Below are 22,509 nucleotides of genomic sequence, written 5' to 3'. Positions count from 1 at the left end.
CAAATCCGAGGGTGCTTGTCTCAGGGACTTTGCCGACGGCCTGTTTCTCAAGGCACAGTGGCTTTCTGTTCCTGGAACAAGTGATTCAGTGCATTTCCCAGAATGATTTTTCAAGCTGGCTTCTTTGCTGGATCTGAGACCCAACCCGTCCGTTTATAACATGTTAATTTCAGGGCAGAGTGAAAGCCACCCATCCAAAGCTAGCCCAGAACCAAAATAGAACACAGTAATACAGAATGTTTTTGAGTTTTCCTGCTCGAAGCCCTTTCTGGCTAAAAGACATTCCCTATAGCTTGTAATTCCTCAAGGAAAAAAGCCTGATTGTATTGAAATCCCTGTGTGTTACATCATGGGATGCAGCTTGGTCCCCTTCTTTGTTGCTTGTTACTTAATCTGTCTTACCATTAAGAACAACAACAACAACAAAATACCTCTGGAGTTGGCTGCCAACCCTGTCACCACAGAAGAACAGGTGTCAGGACCACCCTAGTTAAGTCATGTGGTGCTAAGGGACTTGTTCATGGCAATGGTTTTTCCTTTTAAAAAAATACCTCCATGGTCATGGGTCGCACTGAGGTGACTGGAGGATGTCCGGCCTTTGCAGGCAACTCAGAAAAGGATGCAACTTCTGTGAAAGGTGGACTTGTCACGTGGGGTTGGAGCCATGGGTGACAACATGAATTGCCCCAGAATCCAGGAACTGGAGAGATAGGGAGCAATCTCCCTGGACAGCTCTCAAGGAGGATCAGGAAATGCTGCAAAACTTGCCATCAAGATGCACGACTAGCAAGGATGGCATTAGAAAGGGTTCCTGGGTGCAGTGGCTTGCACCTGGAATCCCAGCATTTAGGGAGGCTGAGACAGGGGGATCACTTGAGCCCAGGAATTCGAGACCAGCCTGGGCAACAAAGTAAGACCTCCATCTCTACCAAAAATAAAAAGTAGCCAAGCATGGTGGCACACACCTGTAGTCCCAGCTACTTGGGAGGCTACGGTGGGAGGATCTCTTGAGCCCAGGAGTTCAGGGCTGCAGCAAGCCATGATTGCACAACTACGCTCAGTCTGGGCAGCAGAGCCAGACCCTGTCTCAGAAAGAAAAAAAAAAAGAGGATTCTCAAGGCTGATAATACACAGGTGTTTGCATGCACGTGCTCAGGTACTCTCCTAGAAAGTACCTGAAAAACACACGAGAAAAGCTTTTCGTAAGATTTTATTCAAATCAGCAGTATAAAAGTCACAGCAGAGTATTTAGCCCTATTAAGTAATGGAGCCATTTATCATAGTAAAGGGAAGGGAATTGGGGGTTAGCCTACTTCTAAGCATTTCATTCAAGGGAGAAAGATGAGGGAAAACACATAATATATCTTAGGAACAGTAATGTCCTGTTATTGTTAAAAACTGCTGGGACCTCATTAGAACTTATGAAAACATCATCTATAAGTACTGAAAGGCAATAAATCTTCGGCAGCCAAAAAAAGAAAGTGGGCAATGGGAGGGAAAGGCAAGAGGGAAGAAAAAGAGGGAGAGAAGAAAAAGAAAAATAAAACAAAGAAGAAAATTACCATCTATCTGTGGTCTTCTCACTACGCTAGGAGCCAGCACTTTCCATGTTTGCCTGCCAGCTGGCTTCCCAAAGTGACCGTGTAAATTTGGCAGCTTGATGCCAGTGGACCAGGTAGGAGACTATATTAAATATTTTAAAATAATTATTGACAATTAATAAAATGTTTAGAATAGGTTTTTTCTCTTCACTTTTCATACTATAACCTCTCAGTGATCTTGGTTCCTTCCTTGGACGTGGAAATTCCTTTTGGTAAGCTTCATCCTGTGACTCAAGTCGAGCTAATTCTGAACGGAGCAGATATTGTACAGTAAGAGGTTCAGGTTGCTGCTTTGGGGTTAATGAAACATTGTCCCTATAGCCGTTATTCTTGGCACATGGCTGCAGAGCATCTTCCAGGCCAAATGCCTTTATAAGATTGCAGGGACTATGCAGCTCAATTGTTCTGGAATTGAGAAATGGTCACAGATAATAAGTAATCATCCTCTTTTTGCAAAATGGAAATCATTATAGCTTCAGCAGTGAACTAGGTGGAAAGAATCGACTGTCAGAACCTGCACAGTAACCACGTCAACAGAAAGTTGTCAGTAGAGAAAGAAATCTCTTGGTAAGTAGAGAGCACAGTATATTCTGTATTCCGTAAATGTAATCTTCTTTTTTCTATAAGAGAGATGAGTTGACTCCTCAACTGGCCAATCAGTATGAGGCTGCAAATTCTTCCCTATCTGGCTTTCATGTCTGGAGAGAAACATGCTCACCATTATTTGTACTTTTTTATTGTCTGCTGATCATTTTTAAAACATTTAACACTTCTGTAAATATACACTGCTTTCATAACTTAATATTAAATAAAAAGCTAAATTATTAAGTATTAAACAAAACTATGCATTTAACAAATTTGACCCTTCTAAACATTTAAGCATTAAATAATATAAAAAATTAATCAGATTCTTCCAAACATTTAAATGGCATAAGTCTTAGTGATGCTTTAAACATGTAAAAAGGAAACAAAATTATCATAATGAATACAAAACAGATCACTACACTTATACCCAAACTGGTTCACTAAAGACTTAATTCCGTGAATTTAAGTTTGCTTCTCCATTATTATTTTTATTTGTATTCTATTTTCTTTCTAGAATACAAACTTTACTCATTTAGCTAAGAAATCAAGACTTACCTTTCTAGACTAGCTATGACTGCGGATAGGAGTTTTGAGACTGAAGATAAGATTTTGGCAGCTTCCCAAGGAAATTGTTGCCAAGTCACTTACCCTGGTCCCTTATTAGAATTGTACTTGATCCACCACTTCAGAAGTTCTCCCCATCATTGGCTTTGGAAAATATGATGGGTTTTGACCTTTTGTGACCTTAATCATCTTGTCAATATCCAAATGGTGAGTATTTATCATGTCTTATCTTTATGGAATGTTCAGTACAAGTTCCTTTTTCAGCTTTTATTCTAAGTAAGACCTGGTCTGGTGTATTTAAGTCTAAAGCCTTGGGTTGATTTGGGTCACTGAAACATTGTAACATTTCTTTCTCATCAGCCATTAAGATCCATAATATTGGTGGGACACAGTGGTTCACACCTGTAATCCCAGCACTTTGGGAGGACGAAGGGGGCAATTCACTTGAGGTCAGGAGTTCGAGACCAGCCTGGCCAACATGGTGAAACCCCGTCTCTACTAAAAATACAAAAATTAGCCGGGTGTGGTAGCACAAGCCTATATTCCCAGCTTCTCGGGAGGCTGAGGCAGGAGAATTGGTTGAACCCAGGATGCGGAGGTTGTAGTGAGCCAAGATCGTGCCACTGCACTCCAGCCTGGGAGACAGAGTGAGATTCCATCTCAAAAAAAAAAAAAATCCATAATATTGACATAAAGATGCCAGCAAAAACCCAATAGCTATTCTTCATCTGCCTTTGTGTGTAGGAAGCTGGGACAGCACAATTCTGATGGTATCCTTCACGCCTTTAGGGGCCCAGAGCTGCCTATCTCTTCCACCTTCCTCTTTACATGTAGACCTGATTAAATAGTGCAACATTGAAAACAGTAAGCAGAACATTGCTCAACAAAATTGAGGAACCCAGCAAGAGGATCTCTTTAGGATATATTTCCTTTTAAACTTGACTTTGAGTGCATTATTCAGATTAAAGATGAGGACCACTCGACTATGACCATTATGAAGCTTTGCTACCACCTGTCTTATAATTTCAGCACAGTGGTTCTCTAAGTATGGTTCCCAGACTGGCAGCACCACCTGGGAACTTAGAAGAAATTCAAAGTCTCTGACCCTGACCCAGACCAACTGAATAAGAAACTCTAAGAGTAGGGCCCAGAAGGCCGCCCACAGCCCTCGTGGTTACGACACTGCTGAAGTTGGATGACCGCTGCAGTGGCACCCCCATCAAGCATCTGAGTCTTTATTTCCTTGCACCAGCAGTCAGCAGATGGAAGCTTCTGGTGAAGTTCCCTGAATTTTAAGATTACTAATTTTTGAAGACGATACTTGCAGGAATAAAGACATACTGGCACAGTTTTGTCATGCTCAGAAAGAACCTATCCCAAGAGCGATATTATACATAATGTGCTAGGGTTGAAGACAGAGGTATTTGTTCAATCAAGTCACAGCACAGGGACTTAATTGAGAAAAATGACACTCTAACTGATCAGATTACAACCTACATCAAGGAGTCCTGAAATTGGGAAATTGTGGAGGAAGAGAGGGAAGGGGGAGAAAGAAATTCTATGTTAAAGACTAAAAACTCTGGACACCAGAAAGGTTGAGTTTGTTCTGCACAGGGACCCTCAGCTGTCCCCATCTGCTTTGTATCCAACGAGTTCCACTATGAATTCTTGATTTTCAGCCTTGGTTGGGCGACAAGGCCCCCCATCCTCCAGAGAAGCTCTTTCAAGTGGCCTTGATTTGCCTAAAACTCATCACCCCATCACCTGGTCCTTTACCCTAAGAAAATAACCCTGCCCCAATTCAAAGAGAAAAGAAGTCATCAGATCAGTAATCCCTCAGATTTCTCCCACAAAATATACAGATTTAACCTGTAAGTACATTCACCTTTTCTTCTCCCTCCCTATTAAAATGAAACAGGTGCCCTCCCCCCTCATCTATGGTTACTTCACCTCCACTCTGGAGCCCACCCTTCTGCATCCAAGGGACTTTCCCTCTCATGACTATCTCCCTCTCCTTTTCCTTCACCGTCTCCTTCTATACAGGCTCATTCTCAACCACAGAGAAATGTACTCAAATCCCCCTTACTTTAAATAAAGAGCAGCCGGGCACAGTAGCTCACGCCTGTAATCCCAACACTTTGGAAGGCCCAGATGGGCAGATTGCTTGAGCCCAGGAGTTCAAGACCAGCCTGGGTAACACCGTGAAACTCCATCTCTACAAACAAACAAAAAATGGCCAAGTACGGTGGCTCACTCCTGTAATCCCAGCACTTTGGGAGGCCAAAGTGGGTGGAGTTTGAGAACAGCCTGGCCAACATGGTGAAGCCCCATCTCTACTAAAAATACAAAACTAGCCGGGCCTGATGGAGTGTGCCTGTAATCCCAGCTACCTGGGAGGCTGAGGTGGGAGGATTGCTTGAGCCCGGGAGGTCAAGGCTGCAGTAAGTTGTGATCGCACCACTGCTCTCCAGCCTGGGTGACAGAGCAAGACCCTGTCTCAAAAACAAACAAACAAAAAAGCATACTGAAACCCCATTTTTCCTTACCTACTCTTATCCCTCCAACTACTTGGTATTCTGGCATGAATCCTAGGCAGTTTCCATGTTAAAAGAGAGGATTCACAAGGTTCTACCAGGAAATGCCTTTATTCTATGCACCCCTCATTTCAACCTGTCCTGTGGAATTTGTTCCTGCCCTCCTCTGGAAGGGAGATTGGGTACAACCATAGTTGTAAGAATATACAAGAGTGGTCTTCTTTTTGCCATTGGTGTACTTGTTCCTCTGTCTTAATCAAAATTCTGAACTTTACTTAAAGCTTCTCCCCACTCTCGGCTTTGCCTTGGAGGCCTTGGAGTGGGCAGGGGTCTCTTGTCTTTCTAAGCTTCATGCTTCTGTACTGTCCCCTCCTCACAAATCCTCCTCTGGCTCCTCCTGGGAGAAAGCCAAGGCCAGGGAAGCTCTGATTTGGCAGACAGTGCCTCCACCTTCTAATAGTGCTCCCTTGTCTTGGGGACCCCCAAAACTGACTATTTTTCCTGGAGTACATTTAAGAGACGTTCTGCATAACTGTGGATCTCTCAAAAAGCTCCCTGCTTCCCATGTTTAGCCACTTACAACTCCCTATTAACTCTGTTTCTGATGGTCCAATCAACACAAACTCTCTCCCCGGTCGGGTCTCTGGCTCTCCAGGTGGCCCTTTTAGGTAAAGTCCACTTAAACGTGACTCCAGACATTTATTTCCAAGTCTGGTGGACTAGAAACCCTAAATGACCCAGCCCCAATTTCAGAAAAGGAAAATAAATGAAACTGGATAAATATGAAACAAAAGAAAATAACATTTTAGTGAATCAACATGCCAGCAATAAAGTGAGGCATCTATCTTACTCTGAAACTTGGAAGCAGGAGTTTCCAGTTTCAAAGTAAGATACTGAGCCTGGGAACTACGGAAAGTAAGGAAGATCCAAAGCAGCCTCCACCCAAAACTAAGTACTGAACTCTGATGACCTTTCGTTTCCATTTGAGAGCTACAGGGGCATGAGAAACAGAAAATTAAGCCCACCCAAGGTGGAGAGACTGCCCCACCAAGTGAAGCCTAGAACATCTATAGCCTTAGTATAAGGGTAAGTAGGAAACAGACTAGCAAAGAAGGGGAAAGAAAGAACATGCCTATCTTGAGAAGTCTTAACTACAATCCCCACTCATATGGGTTTTCAGCCAATACACACTATGTCTGTGTTTTGAAAAAACAGACAAATTGGTCTCAAGCTGGTCATGCCCCAGGTGACTTCTAGAAGAAATGTCATATACAGGTGCTCCTCGACTTACCATGAGGTTACCTCCTGATAAACTCATTGTAAGTTGAAAATATCATAGGTCTAAAATGCATTTAATATGACTAGCCTACCAAACATCAGAGCTTGGCCTAGTCACCTTCGTTGTGCTCAGAATTTACATTAGCCTGCAGCTGGGCAACAGACAACACAGCTCACTGTCACTTATCAGTTGTTTGCCCTTACGATCATGATCCCCTGGCTGACTGCCTAGCATCTCAAAAGAGGATCATGCAGTTTTCCGTGAATGCATATCACTTTTGCACCATAGTAAAGTCAAAAAATTGTGAAGTCAAACCATCATAAGTCAGGGACCATCTGTACTCTCAAAAGGAACCCAACCTCAACTCAATCTCAAAGAATTTCAACAGATAAAGTCTCAAGAAACAGAAATACAGAAGGAAACAAGGAACAAGAGCCAGGAACATGAGCAAGTAGCAGCAGAACATGCAGACACACCCACACATGTTGCAGATTGGGTGCTTTGGAAGCAGCCACAGGGTCAGACCTTGGAATACAGTGTTTATTAGGGTCAGCAACTGTGAAAGGGAGGAGAAGGAGAAGTTGAACTGTAATGTAGCTCTAACAAACCCTTGTTCAACCCAGTGTGTGAAAATATCATCCATGAGAGGTGCCAGGTCTTGATACCCTCACAAAATGGCCAGGTCTTGATACCCTCACTCTGTCCTCAGATGCAGGCTATTTTGAATAGGGCATGGCCGTAGGCAAGGCAGCTCCCTGCAGATGGAGGCTGCCTGCTGAGCTCATTTCTCCCCACAGCTGGGCATAGACATCTGGGCGTCAACTCTTTCCTTGATGTGGAATATAGGTGGCACATCTCTGTGTCAGATAGATAGATAGATAGATAGATAGATAGATAGATAGATAGATAGATAGATAGTTAGATTAGATGTCAGAGAGACCAAGATTTTCGATATGGAACCTATCAAATAGAATATAAAATAAGTATTTTATTTATTTTTGAAGACAGGGTATCGCTGTCACTCAGGCTGGAATGCAATGGCACAATTCCAGCTCACTGCAGTCTCAAGCTCCCAGGCTCTAGCAATCCTCCCACCTTAGTCTCCCGAGACTAGGACTACAGGTGCACACCCGCCATGCCTGGCATATATATATATAGTAGAGTTGGGGGTCTCACTACATTACCCAGGCTTATCTCAAACTCCTGACCTCAAGCTGTCCTCCTGCCTTGGCCTTCCAAAGTTCTGGGATTACAGATGTGAGCCACTGTGCCTGGCCAAGTATTTTAATAAATATTTTTATTTCCTTTAGAGTTTTGAAAATAAATGAGCACATTTGTAAGGAGAACCAAATTTGTAAAGTAGAACTTCTAGAAATGAAAATTATAATATTCAGATTTAAAAGTTTATTAGACGTGTTAAACAGCAGATTAAGCACAACCAAAGAAACAATTACTAAACTAGAAAATAGGCATGAAGAAATCCAAAATGCAGCCCAGAGAAACAAAGAGATGGAAGAGAGAATAAGAAGATGTAATATATGTTTAGAGTTCAGTAGAAGACATGAGAGAGAATGAAGAAGAGGTGATATTCAATAAAATAATGACTGAGAGATTTCCAGATTTGTTGAAAGACTCAAACTGTCAGAGCCAGGAAGCCCAATAAATTCCCTGTGGGTTAAATAAAATAAATCCAAAGGTAGATGCATTATTAAAAACAACAACAACAACCAAAGAACATCAAAGACAAGCAGGTTTTCAATGCAAGCCAGAGAGAAAAGACAACAACCTTCAAAGGGAAGGAGTTACATTAAAGGTTATTTCTTATCAACAATAATCAAAGCCAAAAGAGAGTAGAATTTTTTTTTCAGTTTGCGAAATTTTTTCAGTTACTGTCATCCTGGAACTCCATACCGAGTCAAATTATTTTTTCAAGAACGAAGAATAAATAATAACCTTTTCAGACAAACAAAACCTGAGAGAGCTTCCCCCAACGGACTCTTATAAGCAGAAATTCTTGTAATTTCTGCTTGTAAGGTATTTGGCAATCCTAAAATTAAAAACATACTTTCACCAAAAAACATACTGGAGAAAATAAGAAAACAAGGCAAAGAGTGAAAGAAGATACTTGTAATACATATAACCCACAAAGTCTAATATCAATGATATGTACAGGGATGATATGGTTTGGCTGTGTCCCACCCAAATCTTGTCTTGAATTCCCACATGTGTGGGAGGGACTCAGTGAAAGGTAATTGAATCATGGGGGGCAGGTCTTTCCCGTGCTGTTCTTGTGATAGTGAGTAAGTCTCATGAGATCTGATGGTTATCATAAAGGGGAGTTTTCCTGCACAAGCCCTCTTCTCTTGTCTGCCACCATGTGAGCTGTGCCATTCACCTTCTGCCAAGATTGTGAGGCTCCCCCAGGCATGTGGAACTGTGAGTTCTCCATTAAACCTCTTTCCCTTGTAAACTGGCCAGTCTCAGGTATTTCTTTATCAGCAGTGTGAAAACGGACTAATACAAGGGATCTTTCTAATAATGAATAAGAATATGACAACTCAACAGAAAAATGGCAACCAACTCAAACAGGCATTTCATGCAAAAGGAAATTCAAATGGCCGATAAACTTATTTTTAGATGCTCAAATTTATTAGTAATCCAAGAGATGCAAACGAAAATCATAATAAGATACCATTACATTAGGATGTCAGAAACTCTGAAGTTTGATAAACCAAATGTTGGTTGGGACGTGAAGCAACTGGGACTTCCATACACTGCTGTTGGCAGTGGAAGCCAAGAACAGGTTGTTATGGAAGATAAGAATAGAGTGATCGCTTCCATTGGGATCGCCTTTCTAAGAAAATTTTAGCTGAGATTGAAGAATAAGAAGGAGTTCATTAGATCAAGCTTTTCCAGCATAGAAAAATTTGTGGACAGTTGGGCGTGGGGTCTCAAGCCTGTAATCCCAGCAGTTTGGGAGGCCGAGGTGGGTGGATCACCCGAGGTCAGGCGTTCAAGACTAGGCTGGCCAACATAGTGCAACCCCGTTTTTACTAAAAATACAAAAATTAGCCAGGCATGGTCGTGGGCACCTGTAATCCCAGCTACTCGGGAGGCTGAGGCAGGAGAATCGCTTGAACCCAGGAAGCAGAGGTTGCAGTGAGCCGAGATCACGCCACTGCACCCCGGCCTGGGCAACAGAGTGAGACTCCATCTCGAACAAAGAGAAAAATTTGTGGAAAAGCCTGAATGGTAGAGGGCTTGGCATGTCTAAAGAACAGAAAAACAGCCAGTGTTGCAGGACAGAGGAGCAAGGGGTGTGTGTACAGAACAGCCCAGGATTAGGTTAAAGTGGCAGAGGCATTATTCACGTTTTTCAGGTTATTCTGAGGATTTTGACTATCATCCTAAGACCTATGGGAAGCTATTCAAGGGTTTAACGAGCAAGGTAGTGGCGTTATCATATTTGCATTCTTCAAAGATCACTCTGGCTAATAAGGAAAACGGGTTGGGTGCATGTGTGTGTAATAATGGACACAGGGAAATCACCCAGGAGCCTTTTGCAATAATCCAGGTGATGAAGAATGAGAGCATAGTGTAGGGGGAAGTGGGCAGATTGTGGATAGTTAGGAAGTAAAATCAATAGGCCTTAGTGATGGTTTGGGTATGGTGGTGAGGACTACAACTGATGTCTGGGGCCTGGCTTGCAAAACCAGTTTCATTGTGGTGCCATTCACTCAGATAGAAAACCCCAGAAGAGGACAAATTTGAATGTGGGGCAGAGAGAGATTAGTTCAGCTTTGCACATACTGATTTTGAGGTGCTTATTTTCCCTCCAGGTGGACAGATAAAAGATCCGATGGTGCATTAGACCCACTCACACTAGTTTGCATCTCTTCCAATTCTGTGTTCAGTCATATCATGTCAGTAGCTTGATGTCAGCCACAGTGAGAATATATGCACCTGGAAATTGGCAAATGCGACAATTCATGGTGTATTATTTCTTCCCCTTTGGAGAATTGGTTGTTAAACATTGACCAGCACACCACTCTTTGGACTGCAGAGGAGAAGTCTGGTGTCGAGATATAAAATTGGGGAGTCACTGGAAGGCAGCTGGAGGTTCTCAGCTGTGCTTCATTAAGCGGCAACTCATTTTTCACAGAGAGCTGAAAGTCTTAGTGGGGAATTTGCTTATGCCATCCCCATAAAACTGCCTCGTATAGATACATGAATGGCTGGCAGACTCTTCAGACAGGTTGGGGATAATTTTATAAGAAAATGAATAAAAAAGAAATATTTGTCAAAGAAATGCAATTCTCCCATTTTTGGCCTTGCTGATGTGGCAAGGAATGTGAAAAAAAGTGTTAAGGTTTACTCGCATGTTCCATTTACTGCCTTTGGGACCATTTGCACTTGCTTCCTTAGGAGCTCTGTGGCCTGATGCCAGCCCTGTGTACACACCAACACCAGGTGGCAGGCCTTATGCACACCTACCCCACCTGACCTCACATCCAGGCATAAGCAAGAAGACACAAGCAAAGAGCCCTGCCAACAGCCTCGTTTCCATCCACAGAACCATGCACTTCCAGGCCGCACATGGAAGCAGAGCTTAAGAAAATACCGTGGCTAAGGTGTCTGACAACTGGAGCAAGAAGTGTAGCTATTACTGTTCAAAGAAGGGCTTCCAGGGCTGCAAAGCAGTAGTAGTGCATGGTTCTGGGAGCAGCAGCCCTGCCCCTAGGAGGTCTTGGTACGCTTCCAGAGATAACAGCTCTAATGATGGTGGTGGGAGCACCTTCCTCCGGGTTAGGACTTTACACTTTTCCAAGTATTTTCACATGCAGTTTCTCATTTCTTTTTTACGACAGCTCGATGGAGTTGAAAGCACAAGTGTCACTATCTTCCCCTGCTTTACAAATGAAGTAACTAAGGTTCAGAAAGAGTAGTTGTGACTGTCCAATTCCAGCTCCTTCAAATTAACATGGACCACCCAGCAACGCTGTGCTGGGACTGGGTAACATTCACTCAAAGTCTTTCCCATTTATCTTCTCTCCAATGTCTTATTGTTGGCATCTCTGGTTTCCTAACCTTCCTCCCTTCCCTACCCTCCCACCAATTTGAATTCCAGGAAATGGTGTACATACTTGCACATATAATGGAATATACAATTCTATATGTGATTGTATCTGTTAGTAATAGTATATATTTTACCTTCTGAAACATCTGAACAGGCTGCTTATTTATAAAGACATAAGTGGAAATCCAAGCAGTATCCATCATATATGTGTTAATATATATTATAAAAATGTTTTTTAAAAGAGCTTTCATCTGGTTATAAAATTAATACATATGTTTATATTATAAAACTTGGAACAAAACGTTTTTGTGATTATAAAATGATATATTCATTGATATTATAAAGTTTGGAAAATCAGGAATAAACTATTATCCATAATTAATATCCAAACAAAAATATTTGGTGTGATGGAAACCTCCTTAGAGCAAGTATGTAGACTACCAAGATAGTGATTTTTTTTTTTTTTTTGAGACAGAGTCTTGTTCTGTCACCCAGGCTGGAGTGCAATGGCACCATCTTGGCTCACTGCAACCTCCGCCTCCCAGGTTCAAGCAATTCTCCTGCCTCAGTTTCCAGAGTAGCTGGGATTACAGGCACCTGCCACCACGCCCGGCTACTTTTTTGTATTTTTAGTAGAGACAGGGTTTCCCTATGTTGGCCAGGCTGGTCTCGAACTCCTGACCTCAGGTGATCCACCCGCCTCAGCCTCCCAAAGTGCTAAGGATTATGGGCATGAGCCACCACACCCAGCCAATGGTGATTATTTTAAAAGCACACTTATTTGAGTACAGGCATACCTTGGAGATATTGTGAGTTCAGTTTCAGACTACTGCAAAAAAAAAAAAAGGGAATCACACAAACTTTTGGTTTCCTAGTGCATATAAAATTATGTTCACACTATACAGTAGTCTATTAAGTATGCAATAGCATTATGTCTAAAGGAGCAATGTACATACCTTAATTAAAAAGTACTTATTGCTTTAAAAATGCTAACAATCAGCAAGTCATCACCCTTTTGCTTGCAGGTCTTGCCTCACTGTTAATGGTTGCTAACTGATCAGAGTGGTGGTTGCTGAAGGTTGGGGTGGCTGTGCTATTTCTTTAGGACAATGAAGTTTGATGCATCTATGACTTTTCCTTTCACAAAAGATTTCTCTGTAGCCTCCAATGCTGTTTGATAGCATTTACCCAGAACTTTCAAAACTGGAATCAGTCTTCTCAAAGCCTGCTACTACTTTATCAAGCAAGTTCAAGTAATACTCTAAATCCTTTGCTGTCATTTCAACAATGTTCACAGCATCTTCAGCAGAAGTAGGTTCCACCTCAAGGAACTGCTTTCTTTGCTCATCCACAGAATCAGCCCCTCATCCATCTAAGCTTTATCATGAGATGGCAGCAGTTCAGTCACATCTTCAGCCTTCACTTGTAATTCTAGTGCTCTTGCTATTTTTATCACATTTACAGTGATTTTCTCCACTGAAGCCTTGAACCCCTCTAAGTCATCCAAGAGGGTTGGAATCAACTTCCTCCAAACTTCTGAACATCCTTCCAGGAATCACAAATGTTCTTAATGGCATCTAAAATGATAAATCCCTTCCAGAGGTTTTCAATTAACTTTTCCCAGATCCATCAGAGGAATCACTGTCTAGGGCAACTATAGCCTTAGAAAGTGTATATCTGAAATAATAAGACTGAAAGTCGAAATTAGTCCTTGATCCACAGGTTGCAGAATAGATCGTTGTATTAGCAGGCATGAACATAACATTCGTCTCCATCTTCATCAGAGCTCTTGGGTGACTAGGTGCATTGTTAGTGAATAGTAATATTTTGAAAGGAATCTTTTTTTTTTTAATCTGGGCAGTAGGTCTCAACAGAGGGCTTAAAATATTCAGTAAACCATACTGTAAACAGATGTGCTGTCACCCAGACTTTGATGTTTCACCGATAGAGCACAGGCAGAGTAGATTGAGCATCATTCATAGGGACTCTAGCATTTTAGGAATGGTAAAGGAGCACTGACTTCAACTTAAAGTCACCAGCTGCATTAGCCCCTAACAAAAGAGCCAGCCTGCCCCTTGAAGCTTGGAAGCCAGGCATTGACTTCTCTTCTCTAGCTATGAAAGTCCTAGATGACATCTTTTTCCAATGCAAGGCTGATTTATCCACCTTAGAAATCTATTGTTTAGTGTAATCACCTTCATCAGTGATCTGAGCTACGTCTTCTGGACAATTTGCTGGAGCTTCTCCATCAGCACTTGCTGCTTCACCTTGCACTTTTATGTTATGAAGATGGCTTCTTTCCTTAAACCTCACGATCCAGTCTCTGATAGCTTCAGAGTTTTCTTTTGCAGCTTCCTCAGCTCTGTCAGCCTTCACAGATGATACAGTTTGGATGTTTGTCCCCTTAAAATATCATGTTAACATATGATTCCCAATGTTGGAGGTGGGGCCTGGTGGGCGGTGATTGGGTCATGGCGGGTGAATCCCTCATGTCTTGGTGCTGTCCTCATGAGGGTGAGTGAGTTCTGGTGAGATCTGGTTGTTTAAAAGTGTGTGGCAGCCCCCACTCCCTCTCTTGCTCCCATTCTCACTGTGTGATGTGCCTGCTTCCCCTTTACCTTCTGCCACAATCAAAAGCTCCCTCAGGCCCTCACCAGAAGCAAGTGTCAGCACCATACTTCTTATACAGCCTGCAGAACCAGGAGCCAATTAGACCTCTTTTCTTTACAAATCACCCAGCCTCAGGTATTTCTTTATAGCAACACAAGAACAGTCTTACTCAATAGAATTGAAGAGAGTTGGGGGCCTTGCTCTGGATTAGGCTTTGGCTTATGGGAATGTGGTGGCTGGTTTGATCTTCTATTCAGACCACTCAAACTTTCTCCCTATCAGCACTAAGGCTGTTTTGTTTTCTTATCATTCATGTGTTCACTAGAGTAGGACTTTTAACTTTTCAAGAACTTTTTCTTTGCATTCACAACTTGGCTTGTTTGACATAAGAGGCCTAGCTAGCTTTCAACCTGTCTGGGCTTTCAACATGCCTTCCTCACACTCTTAATAATTTCTAGCTTTTAATTTAAAATTAGAGACATGCAACTTTTCCTTTCACTGGAACACTTAGAAACCATTGTAGGCTTAGTGATTGGCCTAATTTCAATATTATTGTATCTTGGGGAATAGGGAGGCTTGAAGAGAGGGAGAGAAATGAAGGAGACGCTGGTTGGTGGAGCAGTCAGAACACACACGACATTTATCAATTAAATTTGCCATCTTATATGGGCATGGTTCATGAAGCTCCAAAACAATTACAATAGTAACATCAAAGATCACAGATTACCACAACAGATATAATAGTCATAAAAACGTTCAAAATATTGTAAGAGTTACCAAAATGTGACACAGAGACACAAAGTGAGCACATGCTGTTGGAAAAACAGTGCTGATAGACTTGCTCAACACAGGGTTGTCACAAACCTTCAATTTCTAAAAAAAATACAATATCTGTGAAGTGCAATAAAGCCACAATAAAACAAGGTGTGCCTGAATACAAATGATGGTATTTACACATATAATGAATATTCCTGTGTATGCCTATTCATGTATATATATTTTTAGTCAATCTCATCCTATGGAATCCCTTTAATCCCCACTTCTAGTCCCAATTCTAGGACTTAGAGTCCTAAGGGGTAGCTGTGGAAGCATCAGATACACAGTCACTATGGTAGCCTGTCTCTTGTGTAGTTCCCTGCCAGCAGCCATGTGAGTGCACCATCCTGAAGTCAGGTCCTCCAGCCCCAGTCAGGCCTTCAGATGACCACAGCCCCCAATACTATGAGGAGAGATCCTATCATGAGAGATCCTGAGCCAGAACCATCCAGCTAAACTGCTCCTCAACTTCTGATCCACAGAAACTATGGATTAATAAACTCGTATTGTTGGTTTAAGCCCAAGATTTGGAGTAATTTATTATGCAGATAACAAATATACTGGCTTTAAATCAGACAATATAACCTAAACCCAGTCTCTATCACTTACTGGATAATGGCCTTGGGAATCACACTTTATCTCTTATTTATAAATTATTTAAAATGGAAATAATATTACCTACCTCAAAGCATTGCTTTAAAGAGTAAATGTGATCATATAGCACAGGGTCAGCATTCCTTGGGTGACTAATTCATTTCAGTTTCTCATTTTTAGCACCAGAAGTGCAGCATCTGGAGAAGCCCCTCAATCCTGGGAAGACTGGGATAGTTGCTTATCCTAGTATTCATTGAAAACTGGATGAAGGTGAAAGGCGTCAGTGGCATATAGAAAATCAAGAAAGCCTAGAAACACCAGATGAACTTACCCCATCCCCTACTTACCTACACATGAAGAGATGTCCTGGCTATAGATTGTATCATCGTATCTGCGAGACCTGGATTCCCAGGTCTTGGGAATACAATGAGGTTGCTTCTTAGACATTCGGCAGTGCCTCTGGAGACTCCTGGCCTGCTGAGGAGCTCTGCTGCCTCCGTCACTCTGGTCTTGCAGTGGAGACTCCGGGTATTGCCATGAGCATGCTTCCTGAAGAATGAGACAGGGCCTGCACTGGAAACAATGCCAGTCTAGAACATCGTATCAGACACTGCTGAAGGATTTTGGGGCACTGACAGGGAAGTGCACCTCAACCAGTGCTAGAAATGGCTACTCTTACACCCAAACCTGACCTTGGAGGCCCTTACCAGGCAGGCTCCCTGGCCAGCCTTCAGTCAGCCTCCAGGGACCCCTAAGATCTCCCAGCCCCTTAGAGTCCACATGCTATGGGACACACCTCCCTCCATTCTGCCTGGAGGTCTCACCTCCAGACCTCCTTGCACTCTGCGCATCTCCACCAACCCACTCCACACATGACTGGTGCCTTCTTGTCCTTCAGGTCTATGCTGAGCCACTGCTTCCTTTTAGAATGTCCCCCAAGACCCAGGGATGGGTCCCAAACCTTGTCCTGGAGGTGGTGCATTGCAGGCCATGGCATGGGTGCCCCTTTGCTTGTCTGCCCCCACTACCACCTGCCAGCAGCCTGCTTGAGCTCAGGACTGTCCTTGTTCACCCTTCTCTTTTCAGTGTCACCACGGTGCCTGCCACATAATAGATGCTCAATAAATAACTGCCAGTTAAATGAATAAATGGCTTTCATTCCACTTTGCTCAATTTTCCAAAGACTGAGAGCTGGGAAGAGTCAAATGCTCCTTCTGCTCCTTCAAGGCCACAGTTTGCTCTGGCTAATGAGCCAGCCACGGGAAGAGGGAGCAAGGACTGGAGTGCTCATCCTCACACAGGATGCATAGTGGTGCACAGCAACAGCACTTCAGCATCCAGGAGTGCCTGTCACAAAGCAAGGGCAGGAGTGGTCATGGCTCTTAAAGGATGTCAGGGGATGTAGTTCTCTGGCTACACTGCTCACTTAGGAAGTCAGGGATAAAAGTAACAAGCTCTGAATGAGTTTTCTTGCTTTTGCAAAACAATATGACACAGACCTGGACTGGGCCATTTGGTAAACTCCAGTGCTGATGGACTCCTGTGACAGGGAGCTTCAGCCTGCAACGACTGAACTGCCCACCTGCAGGTGCAAGCACAGGTAGTGGGTAGTCTGGTGACACGCCAGGGGACGATGCTCAGGCAGTACAGAGGCAGCTAGCCTCGGGGCCATGCCGGGAAGCAGGAGCGAGCGAGGCCATGGCAGCCTGGGCTCCTTGCCAGGGGCTCCTACTTCATGCATCATGTGTCTCGTTGGAGAGAAGAATGTCTTCCAGGAATCCCGGTCACCTCAACATCTGGTTTAGTGCTTTTTCCTCCAGCCCAAATAAAGTGACTTGTTACTTTCAAAATCAGGTCCAAGTAAACAGAGGGGAAGGGTGTTTCCACAAACAGACTTCGTTCCATCTGGTAAACAAGAGAAAAAAAGGGTTGGAGGGCAAAGTGAAGCCTTGCGAAGGGCAGCAGAATGGAGTGGGCAGCCTGCAGGATATTTGCGGTGAGTGCAACATGCTGAAATCCAGGCTCTGAGACAGCTTGTCTGCTGGGCTGCTGAACAGGGAGGGAAGAAACTGCATGCTAATGAGCTATTTGCTATGACGTGGCTGCTATGGGGAGGTAAGCACTATCCCGTATGTGATTCTCCAAGACAGCACTGTGACCAACACACATAAAGTGTCAGGCTGAACAGCTGCAGCCGCCCTTGGGGTTGAGGGAAGGGCTCTTGTAACATTAATTGAATGCCCTTATGCTTTTACATGTTTTCTTTAATGCAATCCTTGCAACAAAGCTGTAAAGAGGAATTATCATCCCTGCTTTATTAATTAGACTAAGCAACTTAAGTGCACACAACTAGTAAATTCAGAACCATGATCCGAACCTGGAGCTCCTACCATTGTTCTGTAGTGCGAGGTGCCACCTTCAGACTACGGCCTCTGCATTACTGTCTTAGACACTTTCCACACGAGGGCTGAGTAACTTTGTTTTCTAGTTTAATGGTGATTTCAATAGGTCCATAGCCAATCACAGCAAGCTATTGATGAGAACATTCTCAGTGAGCATAAACCCCTGGGCCAACCACTCTGCTTCACATTTGCAATCCTGCCTCCTCCTACATTGGGATTTAGCACATTTTCCACAAGGTGGAGCATCGAGGTAACTACATAAAACTCACACTCACTTATGCTTTTTTTTTTTTTTTTCGAATTTGAAAATCCAAATTCCCCATCTGCTCACAAAGTCTTGTCTGGAATTAACCAGACAGAATGATAGCCTCACATTATAGAGTGGGTGCCCAGTTAAGGAAGCAAGTTGAATTTACAGCGGTAACCTTTGCTTGCCAGGAAAGTCATCCAACTGGGGTTGGAAAACCAGTCCTCAAATCTTGAGTATTAATTGGACCTTTGGCCAAAGCAATCACTCTATCAGCCAATTAAGGTCCTTGGAGCAAGAGCATACTGTCACTCAGAGCCAACACAGGCAGCTTAAGCCCTGGTCACAGACCATTTCTTTCCCTCTGCCGCCAAACCCATGCCTTTGCCCCTTTGTCTCCAGTGACTCGAGTTTCCCTTCTTCCGTCTGCAAGCAAAATTAGAGGGCTTTAGAGCTCTCCAGGACCCAGCTACCTATGAGTATTTTAAAAAGAAGCCACAGCTAATCTATTGAAATTTGTAAAGTTTGTGAATTTTCAGTGAGGGTCATCAGGGAGTTTGTTTCCTTCTGGAAAGAGACAAAGAGAAGTGGGAACCAAGAGGAGTGGGAATTTGGAGACCAGCTGATGGGATGGAATTGCGTGGAAGACATGCCAACTTCTCACCATCTTTCTTTCCAGTGTGAAAAGGAACACGTATTCAACACCTGCACTCTTTCTGTTACTGTTTTCGGCATCATATTGACTAGTATGTTCCAATGGCACTCATGTTTCCAATGAGTGTGAACCATCGCTCACTGGAAAGACACATATAGACACTCTGGTGTCCATGGGTATAGGTTGGAATCCAGGCTCTGTCACTTTCTAGTTATAAAATTCTGGACAAGAAACTTACACTCTCAAAGCTTCCATGCTGCCAACCTTAGGTTGCCAAAAGGTTTACATGAAAATTATTTCACACAGTTAACACATGGTATGTACTCAATAAATGTTAGTCACTATTGTTATTGTTATCTGCTGGCCATTTTTCCAAATCCTCTCTCACTCAGAGACTCCTCTCCATTTAAAAAAAAAAAGTATAAAATTGGACATTTCTGTGGGCCCCAAATCTGTATATTTTCTAACTTAGACCAGTGGCAAGCTTGTACTAGGATACATGGGACCAAGCCAAGCTCTCCAGAGAGTCTCTGGTGAATTACAATGTGGATGCTAAGCCCCACATATAGGAAGCAGAAAGTCTTTTTTGATATATGACCAGGAAAATGGAGAATTGAGGCAATCGCAATAAAGTTTTGACTCACTTGAGATATCCCAATCATTGAGGAAAAAAAAGTATTCTGTGGACTTAATTATCTGAAAAATTGCTTCAAGCTTCCAGGGAATCCTGTAGACAGTGAAATGATTGACATGACTTCCCCACAGCACATGATTTGTATGGCCGCCCACAAAAGCAAGAATAACCAGTCAGTGAAAGACTGAATTGGTAAAAAGCTAGAGGAACATTCCCCAACCAAGAGTTATCAGCTCCCAGGGCTCCCTGGAGCAAGAAGTCACCAACTGACAGAGTGGCCATCCTGCAGGACAGTGTGGTTTGGCCACCTGCATCAAAACCAAGTGTGATGCTCAAAAGCACAGAAAGATTTCATCTTGACTTTTCTAACATTATTCCTGACAGTTATCTGAGATTTGGGACCGCTGGTTTTATCTAAGAATAACTGAGTAGCTACCACAATGACAATTCATGGAGTAGTCTCAGAATTCTTCACTTCCAAGATAAACATGAAGAGGCTTATGGAAAAAAGAAATCTTTCCTGTCCATTTCACCTACATTTCTTGGCTTCCTACGTGCTTTGTGAGATATCCCTCACATTTACACTTCTCAACTATTGCTCCCTTCTCCCCATTGGCCCTGGCCGTTAAACCGATAATGATGGCACAGTGTCCTTTCAGACACATTTTTATTGAGGTCCCACTGTCTAAGTGAAGTGGGTGTGCCGAGGGCACTGGGTTGAGACTGCACATTGGAAAGCATCTCAGTGCTGATAACCTCCCAGTGCCTTGTGACAAAGCAATGGGTTTACCATCAGGTCCAAGTAATGTGCCAGAAACGTTCAGGACCTTAGCAGAAAAGAGAGAAAATTATCTTCAAGGCAAGGAGACCCATGAGAGCAGACTTCAATATGTAAAATCAATCAGAAGGGATAGATGTGCCAAGGCTTGTCCCTGGGCTCCAGGTGATCCAGCCACCCCCTGCTACATGCAGTCTTACAACGTTGATGCCCATTCTGCTGCCAGACCAGGATCTTTCCAACACTAGCTTTGCCCCAGTGGATACTTCTAGCTGAACCCTGCAGCCCTTCCACATAGGCTCCACTCAGCACTAGGTACAGTCTGTGTGGCATCTGTGGCCTCATGCCCAGACACATAGGGCAGGACATTAATTCAGAGGGCCTAAAACTTACAACCATAACTTTTAAAGACTGCTATTTTAAACTGTGTTGCATTTACAAGTTGAAAACTCATGAATTCCTTCAAAAGCATGGAAATAACGGCACTAATAAAAATATCTAATGAAATAATACGAGTAAACTGTTACTCAACTGTACCCATTGCTATCAACATCCTCGGTGAGGCACTTGAAACGTGAAGTTGATTGGAAGGACTGTTTAGTGCTACCCGTCCTGAGCACCAATGGGTCAAGCCAGTGCTCTTGCTTCCCTCCTGCTGAGAGCACTGGCCTTGGTCCTGGGTGCCAGGATTGGGAAGGGGGGCAAAGGGGAATGATTATCATCTCCATAGCTGCCCTTCCCAGCACTGGGTGCCAAGAGCTTTACATTCACTAATTTAATCCCATTAACAACTCTATAATAGAGTGGGCACTTCTGTGCCATTCTACAAATGAGGATTCGGAGACTCGAACAGCCTCAGAGTAACCTGCCCCAGTTACACAGTTAGTGTGTTACGGATTTGGGTCTAGAATCCAAATGAGGGCTGTTGGGTCACAAAACACCTATCTCCATGATTAGATCAATGTTCTCAAACTTGAACGTGCATTCAGGTCACCAGGGGAGTCTTGTCAAGATACAGATTCTGATCCTGTGGGTCTGGGCTGAGGCCTGAGCCTCAGCCTTTCTGACAAGCTCCCAGGAGATGCAGAGGTTGCGGGTCTTAGACCACACTTGGAGGAACCAGATGCAGTGTTGCACCCCTCTTCTATGTCCACGAAGTGTCCACAAGTGAGAGAAGGCCGAGTACAGAAAAAAGGAGAAGGAGGAAGACCAGTTTTTCCCTTCTGCAAAATGTTGTTCTGTCCCCTGATGCAGGGGTCCCCAACCCCTGGGCCGAAGACCGGTACCAGTCCATTGCCTGTTAGGAACCAGGCCACAGAGCAGGAGGTGAGCAGTGGACAAACATTACCACCTGAACTCCTGTCAGATCAGCGGTGGCATTAGATTCTCATCGGAGCTGGAACCCTATTGTGAACTGTGCATGGGAGGGATCCGGGTTGCACGCTCCTTATGAGAATCTAATGCCTGATGATCTGAGGTGGAACAGTTTAATCCTGAAACCAATCTATGAAAAACTGTCTTCCACAAAACCAGTCTCCACGGTCAAAAAGTTTAGGGACCACTGCCCTAATGTATACCTGACAATCAAGAAACCCACAGCCAAGAGCTTTGCTCCCATGAAAGCTCTTAACCAGCAACTAAATTCAGTTTCCATGTATCTGTCAGAGATCTTTTCCAGAACACTTGGGCCTCAACAGACTGGCCCAATTTTGCACTTTAGGAAATCAGCCTCCAGGAGTAAGAACTGGTACAACTCCCTTCCCCAAGATGAAACCCGAGGACACAGTGATAGTCACAACTGGGTCAGCCCAAAAGCTTGCATGTGGTCTGCCACACACACACTGGGAGAAAGCGAATGCTGCCTCCTTTAAGGACACCTCAGGGGCATCCAAGGTCATCCACGACAGCCTGATATGGGCCTTTCAGCTCATGACTTTCACCTGGGATTGGTTCTCATTTCTAAGTGGCACTTCCTCCCCCGTGGAGCTTTCTGGGGACACTTCATGGAAGGTGCGTTTTATTTTCATGGAGAGCATCGGGGTGAGTCTTGAGAGTGAGGTTAGGACTCTCAAGAGGGACATGGCAGGGATGTCTGGTGGCAGCTGAAGCTTCAGCCCCACACACAGGACCAGA

At 43.5% G+C, this 22,509-nt stretch overlaps 1 long non-coding RNA gene across 1 annotated transcript in view; it reads right to left on the bottom strand.

Annotated features, from left to right (window-relative positions):
* Positions 1-1,194: 1,194 nt before the first annotated feature.
* Positions 1,195-22,509, bottom strand: part of GMDS-DT (GMDS divergent transcript) — a 167,839-nt gene continuing 146,524 nt past the window's right edge. Inside the window, exons 5-7 of the long non-coding RNA NR_046229.1 lie at positions 16,008-16,209; positions 15,749-15,920; positions 1,195-2,006 (exon numbers count right to left, since the gene is read on the bottom strand). This is a non-coding gene — a long non-coding RNA (GMDS divergent transcript). The remainder of the gene's footprint in view (positions 2,007-15,748; positions 15,921-16,007; positions 16,210-22,509) is intronic.

This window comes from Homo sapiens, chromosome 6 (genome assembly GCF_000001405.40).
Source record: "Homo sapiens chromosome 6, GRCh38.p14 Primary Assembly".
Taxonomy (NCBI): Eukaryota; Metazoa; Chordata; class Mammalia; order Primates; family Hominidae; genus Homo; species Homo sapiens.
This window is presented reverse-complemented; position numbering and strand designations above follow the sequence as displayed.